The sequence below is a fragment of the Homo sapiens genome, chromosome 17, assembly GCF_000001405.40.
Source record: "Homo sapiens chromosome 17, GRCh38.p14 Primary Assembly".
NCBI classification, from domain to species: domain Eukaryota; kingdom Metazoa; phylum Chordata; class Mammalia; order Primates; family Hominidae; genus Homo; species Homo sapiens.
In genome coordinates, this window is record NC_000017.11 from 49,336,635 (window position 1) to 49,359,153 (window position 22,519).

General features: G+C 40.9%; 1 protein-coding gene across 6 annotated transcripts in view, besides 4 other annotated features; it reads right to left on the reverse strand.

Moving 5' to 3' along the window:
* The window catches only part of ZNF652 (zinc finger protein 652), a 74,357-nt gene that overhangs the window by 48,518 nt on the left and 3,320 nt on the right, over window positions 1-22,519 (reverse strand). Inside the window, exon 2 of one of the 6 annotated variants that reach the window (XM_047435626.1) lies at window positions 16,032-16,156. The exons of the other annotated variants lie outside the window; for them this stretch is intronic. The gene's annotated coding sequence lies outside the window, so the exon portion shown is untranslated. The remainder of the gene's footprint in view (window positions 1-16,031; window positions 16,157-22,519) is intronic. 6 annotated transcript variants of the gene reach the window in all.
* Window positions 6,100-6,149: a silencer, noted in NCBI's record as "silent region_8667". NCBI's record gives its function as "represses an Ori minimal core promoter by ATAC-STARR-seq in GM12878 lymphoblastoid cells {active_cell/tissue: GM12878}" and the evidence as "EXISTENCE:reporter gene assay evidence [ECO:0000049][PMID:35858748]".
* Window positions 6,710-6,910: a silencer, noted in NCBI's record as "peak2885 fragment used in MPRA reporter construct". NCBI's record gives its function as "represses an SCP1 promoter by STARR-seq MPRAs in K562 erythroleukemia cells {active_cell/tissue: K562}" and the evidence as "EXISTENCE:reporter gene assay evidence [ECO:0000049][PMID:32103011]".
* Window positions 8,400-8,600: a silencer, noted in NCBI's record as "peak2886 fragment used in MPRA reporter construct". NCBI's record gives its function as "represses an SCP1 promoter by STARR-seq MPRAs in K562 erythroleukemia cells {active_cell/tissue: K562}" and the evidence as "EXISTENCE:reporter gene assay evidence [ECO:0000049][PMID:32103011]".
* Window positions 22,170-22,249: an enhancer, noted in NCBI's record as "active region_12359". NCBI's record gives its function as "activates an Ori minimal core promoter by ATAC-STARR-seq in GM12878 lymphoblastoid cells {active_cell/tissue: GM12878}" and the evidence as "EXISTENCE:reporter gene assay evidence [ECO:0000049][PMID:35858748]".

The following is a 22,519-nucleotide window of genomic DNA, read 5'->3' on the forward strand; positions in this document are numbered from 1 at the left end:
TTTTTTTTTTGAGACAGAGTCTTGCTCTGTCACCCAGGCTGGAGTACAAAGACGCAATCTCGGCTTACTGCAACCTCCACCTACCAAGTTCAAGTGATTCTCCTGCTTCAGCCTCCTGAGTTGCCGGGATTACAGGCGCATGCTACCACACCCAGCTAGTTTTTGTATTTTTTTTAGTAGAGATGGAGTTTCATCATGTTGGATCACGAGGTCAGGAGTTCGAGAACAGCCCACCTCAGCCTCCCAAAATGCTGGGATTATAGGCATGAGCGACCACACCCGGCCCCGGCCTACTTTTCTTAATGGTGTTTTTTTTTTTTTTTTTTTTTTTAAGTATGTAAGTCACAGGTTGAGTGAAATAAAATCTGGTAACAATGCCACAACTGTTACATTTTAACACAACTTGTTAAAATTAAAGGTGATCAGGCATGGTGGCTCATGCCTATAATCCCAGCACTGGGAGCCAAGGTAGGAGGATCACTTGAAGCTGGGAGTTTGAGATCAGCCTGGGCAACATGGCGAGATCCCATGTCTACAAAAATTTTTTAAAAATTAGCCAGGTGTGGTGGTGCATGCCTACAATCTTAGCTATTCAAGAGGCTGAGGTGGGAGGATCACTCGAGCCCGAGAGTTCCAGGCTATAGTAAGCTATGATCATGCTGCTGCCCTCCAGCATGGGCAACAGACCAATACCCATTCTCTTAAAAAAAAAAAAAAAAAGAAAAAAGAAAAATTAAAGGCAAAAATGCCCAACAACTCTGTAGGTAGCTTACTTAGAACAAAATTTAACTCAATAGAGGTTTTCTACACTGGATGTTGGCAAACTGATCCAGTGGATCCTTCCTCCCTTTTGGGAAGTATAGTTGAACACAGAGAAGAGACTGATTACTAGGGTTTGAGTTGTTACCCTAAATACACTGAGTTACGCTTTATGAATCTTCATGAGACATCCAGTATATCTGTCTTAGAAGTAATGGGACTCTGTGTTACTAAAACTACTGCTACTCAAACAAGGGATTTATTTATTTTTTATCTAGAGGTAAATAATAAACAAGGAGCCCATGTCTTCTTTTTTCCCTGAATGCAGAAATTCCTTTTTCTTTTCTAATTAAAATGTGAAGTTTATAGGTCTCATGGGTTTATACACTAAGCGCTGTCTGTCCAATTCCTACATTCTATTCATGCATTTACAAGCTTTGATTATTATCTACATGCAAAGTACCAAGAGGCTAATATAAAGAGAAAATATTTATTCTTTAAAATAATCATTGCATTGACCCTCACCTTCACAAGCTTAAAATTAGGTTGAGAAGCAAGACCTATGCACAAAAAATAAGTCATGATTGCCAAATACAACAATTTTTTGTTTTTGAGACAGAGTCTCACTCCAACGCTCAGGCTGGAGTGCAGTGGCGCGATCATGACTCACTTCAGCCTCGACCTCCCAGGCTCAAGTAATCCTCCCACCTCATCTTCCTGAGTAGCTGGCACACGCCACCATGCCTGGCTAATTTTTTTTTTTTTTTTGGTAGAGACGGAGTCTTACTGTATTGGTCTGCCCATGTTGGTCTTAAACTCCTTGCCTCAAGCGATCCTCCTGCCTCAGCCTCCCAAAGTGCTGGGATTACAGCGTCAGCCACTGCACTCCACCAGTTTCTGAACTCTTAAAAAGCATAAGAATGAGAACCAACACCTTCTGCTAGATGTCACCTTGTCTGGATGTGATGCATGGAACTGTGGTAACCATCTTGCATCTATAATGTGTGCTGGCCAAAAGACAAGGCAGACATGTTCAAGCTGGCAGAGCAGAAGGGCGAAAAGAAGAGGGGTCCTGACTGATGTCACTAAACCACAGATTTAAACCAACCCTAGACTGAGGCGTCTTGTTACTTGTAAGGATATATTTTCCTTAGTTTGAATTACTTTGAATTGGATTTTCTATTACTTGAAGTCTACAGCATCCTAATAATGCATACAGTCATGTTTGAGATGCAAATTAGACAATTAAGTAGAGTTGTCCAATAGCCAACTGGATAGAAGCACCTGATCAAAGGAAAAGTCAACACTATAGCTACATATTTAGGAGATATCAGCAAACAGAAAGAATTTACATTTGGGGGCTGAGGAGACAGGATAAACAGAAAAGAAGGGGCTGAGCACCAAGCCTTAGGGCACCCCAAGGGCAGAGAAGAAAAGGATAACAATGAAGAAAGAAGAAATTAACAGTGAGGTAAAACAAAAACACTAAAGTACAGTGCACAGAAGCCAAGAGATTAAAAAAGACAGAGAAAAATGACCACTGAATTCAGTGACTCAATAATTCCTTAACATGAAGGTCCCCTTGTCCTTCCACCAGCCTCCTCCTCTCTGAAAAAAACACCAGACTTCATTAGCATAATGGTTAAGGGCTCAGACTTGGGCGGACTTCTGGAGCTATCACTCACTAGCTGTGGGTGATACTTAACCAGCCACACTAGTTAAAAGTGTGATCAGGAGGGGAATGGAAGCTGAGGAACAGAGCTAGAGTAGAACTCAAAACAAAGAAAAGGTCTGAGTTAGGAAATTTTTTTTTTTTTTTTTTTTTTGAGACGTAGTCTCACTCTGTCGCCTAGGCTTGGAGTGCAGTGGCATGATCTCGGCTCACTGCAACCTCTGCCTCCCAGGTTCAAGTGATTCTTTTTTTTTTTTTTTTTTTTTTAAGTGTATTTTCCATTTAATGCCCCCCATGTTATTTCAGGACCTATTTAAAAGTAATAACAAAAAGCAACATAATCCAAAATTACATGTTTTATTTTCATGTTTGTAAAATGAAGAGGTTTTTTTCTGGATGGTTTTCTTATCAGCTTTTCACATAACAGTCAAGTAAACCTCGTGGCACTAGCCAGAAATCGTTGCAACTTTGGAACTTCCAAGACAATCTGGCCTCTATCAATGGGCAGACAGCGACCCTCATTCAAAATGAAGCTGCTAGTCAGTGACATCCGACATTATCTTCACTGGCTACTCGTCCACACTCAGAATGCTGTGAAGAGTGTCAGGTTTTAACCAAGCGATTTTCCATTAAATATTCTCCCAGATGTTCTGGAATTTTTTTTGTGTATTTTTGCATCTTCACAGAGCTGCTCCGCTGTGCCACTGAAGACAGAGCCATTGTTCCTGCCACACGACCAAACGATCGCGAAGGCCGATGTAAAAGCCAAGAGATTCTTCTGCCTCAGCCTCCCGAGTATCTGGGACAACAGGCACATGCCACCACGCCCAGCTAGTTTTTGTATTTTTACTAGAGACGGGGTTTCACCATATCGGCCAGGCTGGTCTTGAACTCCTGACCTCGTGATCCACCTGCCTCTGTTTCTCAAAGTGCCGGGATTACAGGCGTGAGCCACCACTCCCAGCCTTGAGTTTGGACTTTTAAAGATGGGAGAAACAGCATGTTTAAATGCTGAAGGGAAAGATCACCTCTGATTACAAAACTCTATTACAGAAATAACATTTTGGGGCCGGGTGCAGTGAATCACGCCTGTAATCCCAACACTTTAGGAGGCCGAGGCGGGCGGATTACTTGAGGCCAGGATTTTGAGACCAGCTTGGCCGACATGGCAAAGCCCCATCTCTACCAGAGATAGAAAAATTAATCCCAGCTGGGCACGGTGGCTCACACCTATAATCCCAGCACTTTGGGAGGCCCAGGCGGGTGGATCACTGGAGGTCAGGAGTTTGAGACCAGCCTGGCCAACATGGCGAAACCTTGTCTCTACTAAATATACAAAAATTAGGTGGGTGTGGTAGCAAATGCCTGTAATCCCAGCTACTCCGGAGGCTGAGACAGGAGAATCTCTTGAAATTGGGAGGCAGAGGTTGCAGTGAACTGAGTCACTGCACTCCAGCCTGGGCAACAAAGCGAGACTCTGTCTCAAAAAAAAAAAAAAAAAAAAAAGAAAGAAAGAAAAAATATATTTTGGAATTAATTATAGGTTAGTTCATTAAGCTTTTAAAAACTGGTTGGCATGGTGGCTCATACCTATACTCCCAACACTTTGGGAAGCTGAGGCAGGCGGATAGGTTGAGCTCAGGAGTTCAGCCTGAGAAACATGGCAAAACCCCATCTCTACAAGAAATACAAAAAGTTAGCCAGGTAGCATGGTGTACCTGTAGTCTCAGCTACTTGGAAAGCTGAGGCAGGAGGATAGCTTGAGCCCAGGAGGCTGGGGCTGCAGTGGAGTGGAACATTTGGGGCCTGGGCCACAGAGTGAGACCCTGTCTCCACAACAACAAAATTATATATAGAAGAAAAAGTATGGCCAGGTGCAGTGGCTTATACCTGTAATCCCAGTACTTTGAAAAGCTGAGGTGGGTGGATCACTTCAAGCCAGGAGTTCGAGATCAGTCTAACCAGCATGGTGAAACCCTACTAAAAATACAAAAAATTAGCTGGCTATGGTGGCAGGCTCCTGTAATCCCAGCTACTCAGGAAGCTGAAGCAGGAGAATCATTTGAACCCAGGAGGTGGAGGTTGCAGTGAGCTGAGAGTCGAGATCAGGCCACTGTACTCTAGACTGGGTGACAGAGCGAGACTGTCTCAAAAAGAAAAGAAAAGAAGAAAAGAAAAGAAAAACTATGACAAAACTATGTCAAAGAAAAACTATGACAAATCTTAAACTCTGCCTCATTTCAGAGCACATCAACTGAAAAAAAAAAAGATGGATGGCCTGACAAGGAAAAGAAAAAAGATGGATGGCTGGGCAAGGTGGCTCATGGCTGTAATCCCAGCACTTTGGGAGGCTGAGGTGGAAAGATCACTTGAGCCTCGGAGTTTTAGACCAGCCTAGGCAACATAGTACGACCTCATCTCTACAAAAAAAAAAAAAAAAAAAAAAAAATTAGCCGGGTGTGGTGGTGCATGCCAATAGTCCCAGCTACTCAGGAGACTGAGAAGGAAGGATCGCTTGAGCCAGGGAGGTCAAGGCTCCAGTGAGCTGTGACCACACCACTACACTCTGGCCTGGGCAACAGCAAGACTGTCTCAAAAAGAAAAAAAGAAAAAGGATACCTTTTTAAAAAGTAGTAATAGAAAATAGTAAAGGAAAAGCGTCTAATTTTCTCTTGGTTATATTACAAAGATCATTCCGTAATTAAAACACAAACCCAAAGTACTAAACCACAAAAGCCCAGGTACTTTCAGAACTAAGAAAATCTACAATACAACTACATGAAACCATCTGGAATATCCCCTTAAAACACTTTTAGTCTTCAAAACTTTCTCAAATCTGGCCAGGCGTGGTAGCTCACGCCTGTAATCCCAGCACTTTGGGAGGCCAAGGCAGGCAGATCGCCTGAGATCAGGAGTTCGAGACCAGCCTGACCAATATGGCGAAACCCCATCTCTACTAAAAGTACAAAAATTAGCCGGGCATGGTGGCAGGCGCCTATAATCTCAGCTACTCAGGAGGCTGAGGCAGGAGAATCGCTTTAACCCGGGAGGCAGAGTTTGCAGTGAGCCAAGATTGCGCCACTGCACTCCAGCCTGGATGACAAGAGCAAGACTCAGTCTCAAAAAAAAAAAAAAGAATTTTCTCAAATCTAAAGTATTTTTTCGCTTTGGTCTTACTGAAGAAGTATGTTGTCTTGAGATAAGCTTTCTATAAACTTGTGTACAAGAACCACATAAGAAAATATTTAAAAATTTTTATGTTAAATTCAGGAAATTCTAAAATGTGAAACCACTCCAAATTAAAACATGACCACTTCAAAGAAAAGGGGATAATTTCAAAGTTAAGACCAGAACAGCTTTTGACACAAACCACCGCATGTTGCAGAAACAGTAACCTAGTTTCATTTTGAGTATAGTGTTTGTTGCCCTCAAGGGATCTGCAACTTTCGAGCAAGACTTTTTTTCATTAAATGCCAGATAACAGATAAAGGGGGGGGGGGGGGGGGAATCAATACATTTTCATGCTACAACATATCTTAACTCTTCAGTTTAAAAGAAGAAAAGCACAGTCCATATGAACACACATGTGTATCATATTGACAAACCTCAGTTACTGGTGACCACACGAAAATTTCAACTCAAGGCTGAACTATAGAACATGTGACAATTTAATGATCTGCTTGTGAGGAGAAAACCCCCCTCAGTATCACATAAAAGTCTTAGCTATTTGCTCACTGGCACAACAACTGGTCAGTAATAACATGAGCTGGGAAAGCTGATGGAAGATGTTCAAATATACAAAGGTTTTTTCCACATAGAATTTTTTTTTTTTTTTTGGCAGACTCTTGCTCTGTCACCCAGTCTGGAGTGCAGTGGCACAATCTCAGCTCACTGCAACCTCCGCCTACCAGGTTCAAGCGATTCTCCTGCCTCAGCCTCCCAAGTAGCTGGGATTACAGGTGCATGCCACCACACCCGGCTAATTTTTGTATTTTTAATAGAGATGGGATTTCACTATGTTGGCCAGGTTGGTCTTGAGCTCCTGACCTCAAGAGATCCACCTGCCTCAGCCTCCCAAAGTGCTGGGATTACAGGCGTGGGCCACCGCATCCGGCCCACATGTAATTCTTAACTATCTTTTCCCAAAATACTGTTCTCTATAATGTACAATGAATGACTGCATATTTCAGTAAAACAAAAGTCCCAAACATCTACATTTCTGAATGAACAACCTGTTCAAGACACTATCTCCCTATAAACTCCAGAGAAGTTACTTTTAGGATATAAGATAAATCCATTAGTAACCTTACACACCACAGACATTTACATTCTAACTGCACTGGAATGTCTAAAAAATTAGCCTACGAACACCAAAGTGACAGAGCCCAAGAGGAAGTGAACAGACTCCTGGCTTGCAGACAAATGAGTAGGTGGTGGAAACATTTATGTGGGGAGATGATTTTATACAATATCTTTCTTAATCTAAAGGAAACCACAGATCTTCACAATGTATGTGCTATAAATAGATGTCATCAGTCGAAAACCTTAATAAACGTTTTGTTTTTGCTTGCTTGCCTTTAAAAAAAAATAACTTTTTTTTTTTTTTTAAATAACACAAATCCAATGCGTGGTCAAGATAACCAAACCAAGGATGTGACCGAGCAGGCTGCCCAGAGCCCTGGGTACACATAACTAAGTTTAATTCACAGCTGGGCACAGTGGCTCATGCCTGTAATCCCAAAACTTTGGCAGGCCAAAGTGCGAGGATTGCTTGAGGCCCAGAGTTCAAGACCAGCCTCGGCAACATGGTGAAACTTAATCTCTACAAAAAACTTAAAAATTAGCTAGGCCGGCCAGGCGCGGTGGCTCAAGCCTGTAATCCCAGCACTTTGGGAGGCCGAGGCGGGTGGATCACAAGGTCAGGAGATCGAGACCATCCTGGCTAACACAGTGAAACCCCGTCTCTACTAAAAAATACAAAAAAAATTAGCCGGGTGTGGTGGCGGGCGCCTGTAGTCCCAGCTACTCAGGAGGCTAAGGCAGGAGAATGGCATGAACCCGGGAGGCGGAGCTTGCAGTGAGCCGAGATCGTGCCACTGCACTCCAGCCTGGGGGACAGAGCGAGACTCCGTTTCAAAAAAAAAAAATAATTAGCTAGGTATGGTGGTGCATGCCTATAGTCCTAGCTACTTGAGAAACTGAGGCAGGAGGATCACTGAACCCCAGGAGTTCAAAGTTGCAATGAGCTGTGATTGCACCACTGCACTCTAGCCTGGGCAACAGAGTGAGACCCTGTCTCAAAAAACAAGAAAAAAAAATTTATTCCCCTTCACTGATTTATGTTGAAGAAAAGATTTTAATTAATAATGTTTTTTAATATATATAATATTCTTCAAATATACTTCCCTTACCAAAATCAAAGAATTTTCACATTAGCTCACATCAAAGCAAAATTTTTTTTTTTTTTTTTTTTGAGACAGAGTCTTGCTCTGTCACCCAGGCTGGAGTGCAGTGGTGCAATCTCGGCTCACTGCAACCTCTGCCTCCCGGGTTCAAGCAATTCTCCTGCCTCAGCCTCCCGAATAGCTGGGACTACAGGCGCACGCCACCATGCCTGGCTGATGTTTTGTATTTTAACGGAGACGGAGTTTCACTGTGTTGCCCAGGCTGGTCGCGAACTCCTGAGCTCAGGCAATCCGCCTGCCTCAGCCTCCCAAAGTGCTTGGATTACAGGCGTGAGCCACCACGCTGGCCCATCAAAGCAAATTTTCTATCACTACTTTTGCTAACATCTTCAAGGAATGTGGCTAGGACAACCAAAGATAGTTTTGATCACAGAAACATTGTTCAAGTTAGCATTCCCTCCTTCCCCAACTCCCACCTAATCCCCCCTCAAAAAAGCACATTTATCTAAGAATCAAAAAGTTCTTGCCAAGTAATTATTAGTCTCTTTTATAAATGCAGGAAACTAAGGCCCACTGGCTAAAAGATGAGTCAGAGGGGCCCTAAGAGTAAGAATTAGCCAAATTTATAACTGCTATGCGCTCTTCTCCCTTAAGATAAAATCCATTCAGATGACTGGCGACTTTTTGGAAGGGGCAGTGAGGGGTGGTAGTAAGGAAGTTATCTAGATTTTTCTTTTTTTTTTTTTTTTTGAGACAGAGTGTTGCTCTGTCACCCAGGCTGGAGGGCAGTGGCGCAATCTCGGCTCACTGTAACCTCCTCCTCCCGGGTTCAAGCAATTCCCCTGCCTCAGCCTCCCAAGTAGCTGGGATTATAGGTATGTTCCACTAGGCCCAGCTAATTTTTGTATTTTTAGTAGAAACGGGGTTTCACCATGTTGGCCAGCTAGTCGAGAAATCCTGATCTAAAGTGATATGCCCACCTCGGCCTCCCAAAGTGCTGGGATTACAGGCGTAAGCCACCGCGCCTGGCCGTGTTATTTCTTCAATAAACAAAACAACTAATCCTAAACTTTAAAAAGAAATGAAGTAGGCCGGGCGTGGTGGCTCACGCCTGTAATCCCAGCACTTTGGGAGGCTGAGGTGGGCCGATCACGAGGTCAGGAGATCGAGACCATCCTGGCTAACACGGTGAATCCCTGTCTCTACTAAAAATACAAAAAATTAGCCGGGCGTGGTGGTGGGTGCCTATAGTCCCAGCTACTCAGGAGGCTGAGGCAGGAGAATGGCGTGAACCCAGAAGGCAGAGTTTGCAGTGAGCCGAGATAGTGCCACTGCAGTCCAGCCTGGGCGAAAGAGCGAGACTCCATCTCAAAAAAAAAAAAAAAGAAATGAAGTAATCAAACCCATTCAGATTCAATGCCTAAGATCATTTAGATGCGAAGTGTTAACAAAAGGATGTTGAAAAAAGCACAAGCATAAGAAACACTTAAAATCAACATCATCAAGCCTCAAAATATCAGACTTTTATTAAATTCACAAAATATTTATTGAGCACCTGCCATGTGCCAAGTGCCGCAGCCACAACTACAAGTGTAGTACAACAGATAGGATTCCTGGTCTCAGGAGGCTTACAGTCTCACAATTAGTTTATAAATAGATTGTGAGCATTTGTCCTAGTTTACTGGGAAAAGTCCTAGTTTATCACTGTTTTCTCCTAGAATAATGCTAATGATGCCCCCTCACAGGTCTCCAAGTCTGGACAAGTTACATGGTTACTTTATTTATAAAAAAACAAACAGGATGGGCTCAGTGGCTAATGCCTGTAATCCCAGCACTTTGGGAGGCTGCAGTGGGCAGATCACCTGAGGTCAGGACCTCGAGACCAACCTGGCCAATGTGGCAAAACCCTGTCTCTACTAAAAATACAAAAATTAGCTAGGCATGGTGGTGTGCACATGTAATCCCAGCTACTTGGGAGACTGAGGCAGAAGAATCACTTGAACCTGGGAGGCAGAGGTTGCACTGAGCTGAGATCATACCACTGTACTCCAGCCTGGGTGACAAGAGTGAAACTCCGTCTCAAACAAACAAACAAACTACTATTCCTATAGGGCCACATGTTTGTAAAATGCATATTAAGATTTTAATCTTTAGCTTCAAACTTATTTTAGACATTCTTCTCATTTTGATATATATATGTTATATAATGAAAGCAAATATTTGTTTTAGTTTAAAAAGAGGAAATCAACTCTGATTTTATCACATCAAAATGTATACAAAGTAAATAAAATGAATTAAAAAAATCAAAATGTCAAAGACCAAGTCCCTTGTGGGCAGGTAGCTCTTTTTAAAATACTGCTTTAGCATTCCAGCTTGTGCCTATCTTAGTACTGAGAACATATTATGGTTTCTAGATATTTCCCACTAAAAGGAAACAGGGCAGGGAATGTATGAGTTTGGAATATCTTGTCCTAAGGGAAAGAAAGGAAGCTATCAAAAACTATCAGGAATGTGTCAAAAAGAATGAGGAACCAGCCTGATAAATGCCTATCTGGCAAAGATAGGACAACTGAGTATCAAAGGATTAATAAGAGTCATGGATTGAAACACACCAAATATGCTTAAATCCACTGGTCACCTTTAGAGGATGCTAAGACAGCCAACTCATTCTTTTGAAAACAGATAAATGAAGGGCAAAAATCATTCCTATCAGATCTGTACCCTAAGGAAACTAAACAGTTGAGGGGAAATTTTATATAAGTATTCCAGCTAATAACTGAAAAACAAATTATAGAATTAAACATTATTTTGTGGCCAGGAGTGGTGGCTCATGCCTGTAATCCCAACACTTTGGAAGGCCACGATGTGTGGATTGCTTGAACTCAGGAGTTTCAGACTAGCCTGGGAAACATGGTGAAACCTGGTCTCTACTAAAAATACAAAAACTAGCTGGGCGTGATGGCACGTGCCTGTGGTCCCAGCTACTCTGGAAGCTGAGGTGGGAGGACCGCTGGAGCCTGGGAGGTAGAGGCTGCAGTGAGCCGTGATCATGCCACTGCACTCCAGCCTGGGTGACAGAGCAAGACTCTGTCTTTAAATATATATAAAATTTGCAACCCCTAATGAATGGATGTAGGCAAAAAGATCATCAATGACTCATAACAATACCCAAAAAGAGGCAACCAGCTTTTATATCTCCTAGAATTATACACCACTACCTATTAAGTAATCTTGCCCCATGCCTGCAAGAAAAATTGAACCTTGGTTTTGTTTTTTTTTTTTTTTTTTTTTTTGAGACACAGTCACTCTGTCACTGAGGCTGGAAATGCAGTGGCATGATCACAGCTCACTAGAGCCTCAACCTCCTAGGCTCAATCACTCCTGCCACCTCACCTTCCCAAATAGCTGGGACTAGAGGTGTGCACCACCACACCCAGCTAAGTTTTGTATTTTTTGTAGAGATGGGGATCTCACTATGTTGCCCAGGCTGTTCTCAAACTCCTGGCCTCAAACAATCCACCCGCCTTGGCCTCCCAAAGTGCTGGGATTACAGGTGTGAGCCACCACACCCTACCAAACCTTAATCTTATCAAGCCTATAGATCTAAACACCAATCTACAGGAAATAAAAGGGACTGAGGAACATATCAAATGACACCATGTGGATATAATTAGCAAAATTCAGACTATGGAAAACTATACAACAAATAACTTGGATTCCTCAACAAAAAACTGCAAGGAGGCTGCGCATGGTGGCGTATGTCTAACCCCAGCACTTTGGGAGGCTGAGGTGAGAGAATCTCTTGAGATCAAGAGTTCAAGACCAGCCTGGGCAACATAGTGAGACCCCTATCTCTACAAAAAAAATTTAGCTGGACACAGTGGTGTGTGTGTGCCTCCCAGCTACTTGGGAGGCTGAAGCAAGAGGATCACTTGAGCCCGGGAGATTGAGGTTACAGTGAGCCAAGACTGAGCCTCAGGCTGGGTGACAGAGCAAGACCTTGCCTCAAAAAAGAAAAGAAAAGAAAAGAAAAGAAAAGAAAAGAAAAGAAAAGAAAAGAAAAGAAAAGAAAAACCCCCGCAAGGAGAGGAATGGAGAGGCAAAGGGGGAGGGGAGAGAAAGAAAACAAACCTACCCAATCACTTCTTGGGACGCTAATTCAAACAAACTGAAAAAACAATTATGAGTCAATTGGGACATACACATACTGACTGAATACTTAATGATGCTCAGGAAGTTTTTATAAATAATATGATGTCTGGAGTTGCTTTAAAATGAGAGGGGACAGGTAGGGAAGTGTAGTGAGTGTAGCAATCCTCCTGCCATGGCCTCCCAAAGTTCTGGGATTACAGATATGCACACTGCACTCATCCTAGTGTGTTTTTTCTTATGGAACTGCCAAGTTATCCCTATGCATTTTTGTTTCCTAGAATGCTTGAGGATTTTTTCTTTTTTTCTAATAAGTGGTATGCTTCTGAATGAAACTGAATGAAAAAGAAAACAAAACAAAAAAAGAATTAAAAAAGTGATTTGCTAATGGAAGGAACACTTAAGAGTTCCATTTAAGCTGGGAGAAAAAGTGATTTTTTAAAAATCCATATCTACTTCATATTGCCAATTCCGTCCTCCTCTGCCATAAACTAAACTGTTTCAAGGAATTACTCAATTTAATGCAGTGGCCAGGTGCAGTGGCTCACGCCTGTAATCCCAGTACTTTGGGAAGGATTGAACACCTGAGGTCAGGAGTTCAAGACCACCCTGGCCAATATGGTGAAACTTTGTCTCTACTAAAAATACAAAAATTTGCCAGGCCAGCTATTCGGGAGGCTGAGACAGCAGAATTGCTTGAATCCAGGAGGCAGAGGTTGCAGTGAGTCGAGATCACACCATTGCACTCCAACCAGGGAAACAGTGCAAAATTCCATCTCAAAAAAGAAAAAAAAACAACAAAACAAATGTAATGCAGTGAGTTTGGATGCCATGGTTTGCCATAGCAGGGATTCTTTGCATTGGTAAGTGTAGAGTGAAAGATACCCAAGTACTACCTTATCTACAATGGTATTCTGCCTCAAGATCAGTAGCTTTTTCTCCTTCAAGAATCACTAAATACTTAAATTTTCTCAGAGCAAGACATGAAACCATCCTGCAGAGAAGACTCTTGACTACTACTCTCAGTTAACAGTTAATTTCCTAGTAAACAAAAGTTGGCTATTTTCCATACACTAATGGACTTAGGGGCTTATAACTATACTGAAAAGGGTACTATTGCACAAGAACTATACTCACAGAAGTGATAAATCATGTTTCTGCATGGAATACAAGAAGGGTGGGGAAAATTCTGCCCTACCTTAAAATGGCCTTGGGCAGAACTATCTGTGAATGTCACAAGATAACTCTTAAAGATACTAATGTCAAAGATAACTTACATATGTTTAAACAAACACAGAGATCCAGCTACATTATATATAGTATATATATGTGTACAATCTATGTTATAACCAAAGCGAATCCATGAACAGATATTCAGGCTTCGGAATAGAGTTTTAAAGCTTAGGATGTTTCCAAATAGAAAAAGGATATTAGCTGAAAAACTAATGAAATCTGAATTAAATACGAAGTGTAGTTAATAGTAATATACCAATGTCAGTTCCTTAGTTTTGAGAAACACACTATGGTTATGACTTTAACAAAAGAAACCATGAGGAGTTTATGAGTACAGAGTTGCACTCTACTTGTAACTTTTCTGTAAATTTAAGATTATTCCAAAAATAAAAAAAAAAAAGTGTAAGCTGGGCAGGTGGCTCATGCCTGTAATCCCAGCACTTTGGGAGGCCAAGGCGGGCAGATCACCTGAGATCAGGAGTTCGAGACCAGCCTGGCCAACATGGCAAAATCCTGTCTCTACTAAAAATACAAAAATTACCCAGACGTGGTGATGCGTGCCTGTAATCCCAGCTACTCGGGAGGCTGAGGCAGGAGAATCGCTTGAACCTGGGAGGCAGAGGTGGCAGTGAGCCGAGATCGCGCCACTGCACTCCAGCTCAGGTGACAGAGATGAGAGACTCCGCCTCAAAAAAAAAAAAAAAAATTGTGAAAAGAACTTATTGCAATAGCATAAACTATGTTATAATCACTTCAATTAACAGATTTTCTTTGATTCAAAAAGGCAGGCTGCTTTATCACCTTACTTTTCTCAAAAGTGAGACTTTTAAAAAATGGCTGGGTGCAGTGGCTCACAGCTGTAATCCCAGCACTTTGGGAGGCCAAGGCAGGCGAATCACCTGAGGTCAGGAGTTCAAGACCAGCCTGGTCAACATGGCAAAACCCCATCTCTACTAAAAATACAAAAATTAGCCAGGCATGTTGGCAGATGCCTATAATCCCAGCTACTCAGGAAGCTGGGGTAGGAGAATTGCTTGAACCCGAGAGGCAGAGGTTGCAGTGAGCCAAGATCACACCACTACATTCCAGTCTGGGTGACAGAGCAAGACTCTGTCTACATATATATATATATATATATATATATATATATATATATATATATACACACACACACACACACACACACACACACACACACACACATATTTTTATATAAATATTTATATATATTTTAAACTTTGATGTTTTAAGACATTATCAGGATTCTCGGTAAAGACTACCAATTAGCAAGTTGACTTGGGTTTTTCACCAGAATCCACATACAAACACGTGTAAGTATGCTTTATGGCACAAATCCCAAACTGGCTAATACCAAGAAAACCTGACTGACTTCTGACATTAACTGGCATGGCTGATTACAGATCATAACACTATGGGAATTCAGCACTATTTTCCTAACCGTGAAACGTGCATATTTTTGGATGTAGCCATTGAAGAATTCACCACCAGAAGATGGTAAGTATAAAAAAAGTGTATACAAGAACATTCATTATAGCATTATTTATTATAACATAAATAATGGTACATACAGACACAGGCATACTGTATAACCATCTGAATTATGATGCAGATTTATAATAACTGACATAGAAATATGACCATATAAAAAAGATTAAAGAACATGTGAGGATGGTGTCATGCAATTTCACTACTCAAAACCACGGACATACATATATATATATGTGCGCTCATATTGAGAGATGTCTCAGGATAGAAGTAAAGGTGGAAAAGGCCATATTTTTTTTTCTTCATATTTTTCTAGAATCCTTAGTTTTAAAATAAGCATGTAGTCTGATGTAGTGACTCATGCCTGTAATCCCAGCACTTTGGGAGGCTGAGATGGGAGGATTGCTTGAGCTCAGGAGTTTTGAGGCCAGCCTGGGCAACATAGTGAGAGCCCACCTATACAGGAAAAAGTACAAAAATTAGCCAGGTGCCATGGCACATGTCTGTAAGCCCAGCTACTCAGGGGGCTGAGGCAGGAGGATCACTTGAGCCCAGGAGTTCAAGGCTGCAGTGAGTTAGGATCACACCACTGTGATCACACCACTCCAGCCTGGGTGACAGCGCAGGACTGTCTCAAAAACAAAAAAACAAACAAAAAGTTAGCCATCAGCCAAAAGACCCTAAGTTCACAGGTTGTCAATGTTAACTGCAATATTAGCTATATAATTTTAGCTTACAGATATAACATACACCATCACAATACTGTTTAACTCCAATGGACAAACTGTAATTTAAAATATCAAGTTATTTCATATAAATTCCATTTGTAAATATATATACTACTAATAGTGTTTGTACTTTAGTTGAGAAGATCAGTCAATATATTTTTTTTTTTTCACAAGCAAACAAATCTCTCGTCTTCTTGCCAAGGACTAACCTTTCCAAATCAATGAATTTGGGAGCTGAAAGAACTTATAATATATCCAAAATAAACCTATTATATGAGAGATGAGGAAACAAGAGGTTCAGAAAAGTTAAATGGCTCCTCTAAGTCAGCAGCTAGCTGATGGCAGAGCTGAGCCTAGTACCCAGATTCTTCTCATAAGGCTCAAAATGAAGTATTCCTACATAAAAATATTAACAGTATCAGCTGCTGACAAAAATGTGGAACAAGTAGAATTTTTATGTCTTTCCAGTAGGGATGTAGAAACAATTTGGTAATTTCTTATAAGTTAAAGATACATACTATATGACCTAGCAATCCCCCTCCTAGGTATTTACCCACAAGAAATGAAACTTATATTCACCCCAAAACCTGCCATGAACATTTACAGTGGCTCTGTTCATAATCACCCGAAACTGGAAGCCAAATGTCCCTCAAATGGTTACGAATGTACGTGATCTGTGGTATATCCATACAAAGGAGTATTACCTGGCAATAAAAAGGAACAAACTGTTGATAAACCCAAATACTTAGAAAAATCTCAGCAGCATTACTATGACTAAAAGAAGCCAGTCTCTAAAGGTTACATACTATATGAGTCCATGTCACATTCTGCAAAAGACGAAACTACAGTGACAACAGATCGATAGTTGCCCAGGGTGAGGGGAGGGTATGAGTGCAATGGGACAGTGGGAGGGAGTTATCTGGAGTGATGGAACTGTTCCGTGTCCTGGCTGTGGTGGTGGTGGTGGTGGTTATACAAATTGATATTCACAGAACTGTATGAATATCAAAATGTCAATTTTACTGTATATTAATTTAAAAAATAAATTATTTACTCAGTCTCTGGTTTCTAAAAGCCAGAAGTACCTATAAATTTCAAATTCTTTTTTTCTGGAGGGGCAGGGTCTCACCCTGTCACCAGGCTGGCATGGAGTGGCATGATTCTGGCTCACTGCAGCCTCCACGTCCTAGGCTCAGGTGATCCTCCCATCTCAGCCTCCTGAGTAGCTGGGACTACACCACACCTGGCTAATTTTTTGATTTTTTGTAGAGAGAGGTCTGACTATGTTGCTTGGGATGGTCTCAAACTCCTACACTCAAGTGATCCTTCCGCCTCAGCTTCCCGAAGTGATGGCATTACAGGTGTGAGACACTGTACCCAGACAAATTCTTTAAAATTTTTTTTTTTTGAGACAGAGTCTCGCTCTGTCACCCGGGCTAGAGTGATGTGATTTCGGCTTACTACAACCTCCACCTCCTGGGAAAATACATTTTGTTAAGCACTATATAGGGCAGTGTTTTTTTCAAAGTGCCCATACCAACCCAATTTTTCTAAATGAAATAAAACAGAATGAAAATTCTAACAGATTGCCTCACAGTAAGATTAAGTACTGTCTCAAAGTTTTTGTTTCAGTTGTGGGTGTAGGTATGAATGTGAATATGTGTGGGCACGCATGCACTGCTTCTTACTGTGGATCATAGTCAAAAAGTTTGAGAAATACTGCTAGAGGGAATTAAATAAACAACAGTTCTAGATTTAGAACAGTCCAGCCCTGCAAGAGTTGGCTTCTGTGGACATGTATTAGTACACAGTGCACCACCTGGTCTTACAAACATAAATCATCTTTAAAGAAATAAAAAATATCTTAAAAAATCTAACTTTCCATAAGAGGTGATGAAAGGATTGAGGAGAGATTGGAAGGCAGAACAAACTACCTTTTGGATATTAACTATAATACCTGACAAATTATAATACATGCAGAAGTGTTTATTTCTTTACCATAATCTAACAAGAAGAAATCAGCCATATGAAATTCAATAATTTCTACTATGCATATCATTTCCAAATTTTAATTTAAACATTTTCTCACTTAGCAATAGTTTCTTATTATATTATATAAGCTTTAAATATATCTCAAAGAACCAAATTATATTCTATTAGAGCAGGGTAAGACACACATTAAGATCACAAAAATAAAAATTATAAAAGAGAAAAAGAGGGGAAAAGGTAAAAATGTATCTACTTTTAAGAAAATTATACTGCTAAGTCTCTGCTGTGTAATATATAAAAAGGCTTTTTCTCTTTGTAGAATAACCTTTCAGATAAAAGCTATTTTCCAAGATAATTTGGCTTTAGCCACCAGCAGACTATAAATAACTTATTTTTAAAAAGATTCACACCTATAGTCCCAGCTACTCGGGAGGCCAAGGCAGGAGAATCACTTGAACCTGGTAGGCAGAGGCTGCAGTGAGCCGAGATCACGCCACTGCACCTCAGCCTGGGCATGGAAGCAAGACTCCGCCTCAAAAAAAAAAAACAAAAAAACAAAAAAACAAAAAAAACCTGTCCACTAAAACTTATTCTAAAATCTTCATATATAAAACACCATTACTATTCTGAAAGTTACCTAGCTTATTTCTTTTTCTTTTTCTTTTTTTTGAGATGGAGTCTCAACTGTCACCCAGGCTGGAGTGCAGTGGTGCAATCTTGGCTCACTGCAACCTCCACCTCCCAGGTTCAAGCGATTCTCATGCCTCAGCCTCCCCAGTAGCTGGAATTACAGGCATGCACCACCACACCCGGCTAATTTTTGTAATTTTAGTAGAGATGGGGTTTCTCCATGTTGGCCAGGCTGGTCTCGAACTTCTGACTTCAAGTGATCTGCCCACCTCAGCCTCCCAAAGTGCTGGGATTACAGGCATGAGCCACTGCACCCGGCCACATCGGCAGTATTAAAGAGCATGGCTACATACAATTACATACAATTTCATCAACCAATTGATTGACAGGTCTTCTAAATTCCAAAATATTCAAAACAAGATGAACTATTTTAAGTAAGTTATTCATGTTGCTATTTTGTTTAGAACTTCAGGGTTCTAAAAAGTTTAAATATATGTTACTTATAAAAGTTACATTAGATAAAAAACTTTTAATAATTAATTCACGAGGGATTGTGATTTCAATATTATGAAATGAGACAGTAAAAGAAAAAAATTTGTCTGGGCATGGTGGCTCACGCCTGTATTCCCAGCACTTTGGGAGGCCGAGAGGAGAGAATCACTTGAGCCCAGCAGGAGTTTGAGATCAGCCTAGGCAACATAGTGAGGGAAAAAATACAAAAAGAAGCCAGGCATGGTGGTGCGCACCTGCAGTCCCAGCTACTCAGGAGGCTGAGGTGAGATGATCTCTTGAGTCTGGGAGGTGAAAGCTGCAGTGAGCCAAGATGGCACCACTGCACTCCAGCCTGGGTGACAGAGTGAGACCCTGTCTCAAATAAAAAAAATAAGTTAAAAAATAAAAATAATTAGTAGTGACCGGGCGCGGTGGCTCACGCCTGTAATCCCAGCACTTTGGGAGGCCGAGGCGGGCAGATCACGAGGTCAGGAGTTCAAGACCAGCCTGGCCAATATGGTGAAACCCCGTCTCTACTAAAAATACAAAAATTATCTGGGCATGGTGGCGGGCACCTGTAATCCCAGCTACTTGGGAGGCTAAGGCAGGAGAATTGCCTGAACCCGGGAGGCGGAGGTTGCAGTGAGCCGAGATTGCACCATTTGTACTGAAGCCTGGGCAACATAGCGAGACACCAATTAAAAAAAAAATAGTATCTAAAAAACAAATCCTTCAAGTGTTATAATCATTTTAAAGACATTTTCCATCATTTTAGCCCCTCTTTATTTAAGGATAAAAGTATACAGGTTTTGCTCTTAGGTTGACTTGGGAATTCTCTTAATATTGTGAAAATCCAAGCTAGGTCTTTGAGAATGTGCTAAAAAAGGGTTTGAAATTATTTTCCCCCACCAAATACTTCGTTATTTCATTTAAAATGTGATATTACAGGGCCGGGCGCAGTGGCTCACACCTGTAATCTCAGCACTTTGGGAGGCCAAGGCAGGTGGATCATAAGGACAGGAGTTCAAGACCAGCCTGGCTAACATGGCGAAATCCTGTCTCTACTAAAAAATACAAAAATTAGCCAGGCACGGTGGCAGGCGCCTGTAATCCCAGCTACTTGGGGGAGGCTGAGGCATGAGAATTGCTTGAACCCGGGAGGCGGAGGCTGCAATGAGCCGAGATCACACCACTGCACTTCAGCCTGGGGGACAGAACAAGACTCTGTCTGCAAAAAAAAAAAAAAAAAAAAAATCAAAACCAAAAAAAAAACAAAAAAAACCCCTCCTCACAAAGAAAAAGTTCACTTAGCAAAACGTATGACAGTAAATCAATCACCTAAATTTTGTTTGTTTAGTCATTCTCGGCTCACATAGCATTAGGGCTATTATACATTCTAGCCAAATTAAGTTTTTTAAAGTATACTGCAAAATCTAAGGTGAGTCAAAGACCACCATATTTCAATCCCTCTTTATCAGCAATCCAATACTAGTGACTGAGTCCACTGATGGGCAAGCCTGTAGGTGGCTCAATAATAAAAGAAAATAAGGATTAGCAGATTCTCCTGAGGTAAATCCTACTGTATTACTGATGTGTCTACCTTATCTGAAAAGTCTCTAGGTAACTCTTGTGGGCTCACAGACTTATCACAACGCTATCCTGCAACAAATTACAGAATAATTTAATTCTATAGTAACCTAAGAAATCCTATTTTACAAGCTGTATGCATGGAATAAAACTGTATACATGGCCCTAATTGCATTTACTTTTCAAGGTAATCAATCACTTGAACTATGTTTTAAAAAAAAAAAAAAAAAGAGGCTGGGCACAGTGGCTCACGCCTGTAATCCCAGCACTTTGGGAGGCTGACGTGGGCAGATCACAAGATCAGGAGTTCAAGACCAGCCTGACCAATATGGTGAAACCCCATCTTTACTAAAAATACAAAAAAATTAGCTGGGCATAATGGTGCATGCCTGTAATCCCAGCTACTTGGGAGGCTGAGGCAGGAGAATTGCTTGAACCCAGGAGAAGGAGGTTGCAGTGAGCTGAGATCATGCCACTGCACTCCAGCCTGGGCAACAGAGCGAGACTCTGTCTCAAAAAAAAAAAAAAGATAATGTCATCTTTACCATAAAGCTGCCTTTCTGGCTAAAAAACAAGAGAAGGAACTACATATATAATCTACAGGCCTAAAGCAGAGTTCATAAAATCTGACAGGTAAAGACACTCTACTTTTCTTTCCTTCCCTTGCCAAAGTAAAAATTCATAAAGCACTCAAATCTATAGCCCCAATAGCAGTTTATAATAAAAATCTCAGAAGACAATTGAAATTGTATTAGATAAAATGTTCATAAGTATTTTTAAAAATCAAATATAACTACTATATAAACAAACAGATAACTAAAATAAGCAACTGATATTGCCACTGATTCTACAAAGCACTTTATGGCTTGCATTAACCATGAAAATTTATACAAGGCTTTGCACGTGATTCAACTCTGGACACAGAACCCATTGAGATACGTTAATGTCCTAAAATACCCCTTTCACTACATAAGCTCTGAATAGGCTTAAAACAAGCACAGCCTATGGGTAGCACTGTAGAATTTGGAGCTAGATTTTACTGTCCCCACCAAGTTCCGCCAGCCATAGAGCAACAAATCAAAGTTCCAATAAGCACATTGCACCTGCAAGACTTAGGTATGCTCCAAGTCAAATATTTGCAATTTTTTCATCCCAAATCTGCACAAATGAAAAAATGCAGATCGCAGTGCCAGACTTCTAAATCTTGTCATAAGACAAAATGATCTGTAGTTTTACTCCAACATGCTCCATATCCTAACATGTATTGAGTCTCTAATATGATCATATGCCAGGAACTGCTAGGAGTTTACATACATTATCTCTAATCCTCATAACAAATTCCATTCTGCTGCTGAGGAAACTGAGGCCAGAGAGCTCAAAGTGACTTGTTCAATATCATAAGACCAGTAAACAGTGGAGCGGGGGTTTTAAATCGAGTTATGCCTACCTCCAAAGCATCATCTATCTCCATGAGCCTTCTTCAGCTAAAGTCACTAAACGCAGCACCAGTTCACCTCTATCGAAGTAAATTCAAGTGCTGATTGTCAGAAATGATGACAACACCTGAGAAAAATATCACACCTAAAATGGTAGCACAAGACCTAAGACTTCACAACAAGGAGGTGTAGTTATGCCCTTTAGAATAACAAGTTTTAAAGGCTATGGTTCAAAATACAAGACAATCCACTTTTTTTTGTTGTTGTCTCTCAGCTGACTTTTTTATAACAAGGGAAATGAAATTCAAGAGTATAGTCACATTTTTTTGGTAAAATTATCTAAAACCCCTGAGAAAAGGGTGACTTCAAAAGTTCACATTCTAGTTTACCTCTTCGTTAGGCTTCAGACATTCAAAAACAAAATCACATCAGTAGCATTACTAATCAACTTTTTTTTTCTACAGACTTGAAAAGTATTTTCTTACCACACTACGAGATTACTTCCCATACTTAGAACAGAAATGGCAACAGTTCTGGGTGTCACGAATCAGATCTTGAGACCACAGCTGCAGAAAGTAGGTGCTGTTTCCCTTGAGTAGGAGCTGCTGATCTGAAACCTCCTAAGGGAAGGGTGTCTGAAGAAGAGTGTTGGAGAAACTAAAGCAAGCTGTTTGTATTAATGAGAGTGAACTGCTGGCACCACTACTCCTTAAGTGTTTCACTGCTATGCAATTGTTTTCCAGCTTCCAAGTTCTGAATCTGGCAGGGAGAGAATGCTGTTCTCACAACCGTATATGTTATATGATCAGCTGCTCTATGATGTGTGGGTGTTTAACTAGGTAAGTGACTGGTTTAGAAGAGGTTCTGCAATACTAAATCAAGGAAGCACACTGTCCTCTGAGATTTTAATGGTCTGTCAGTATACTACAAAGT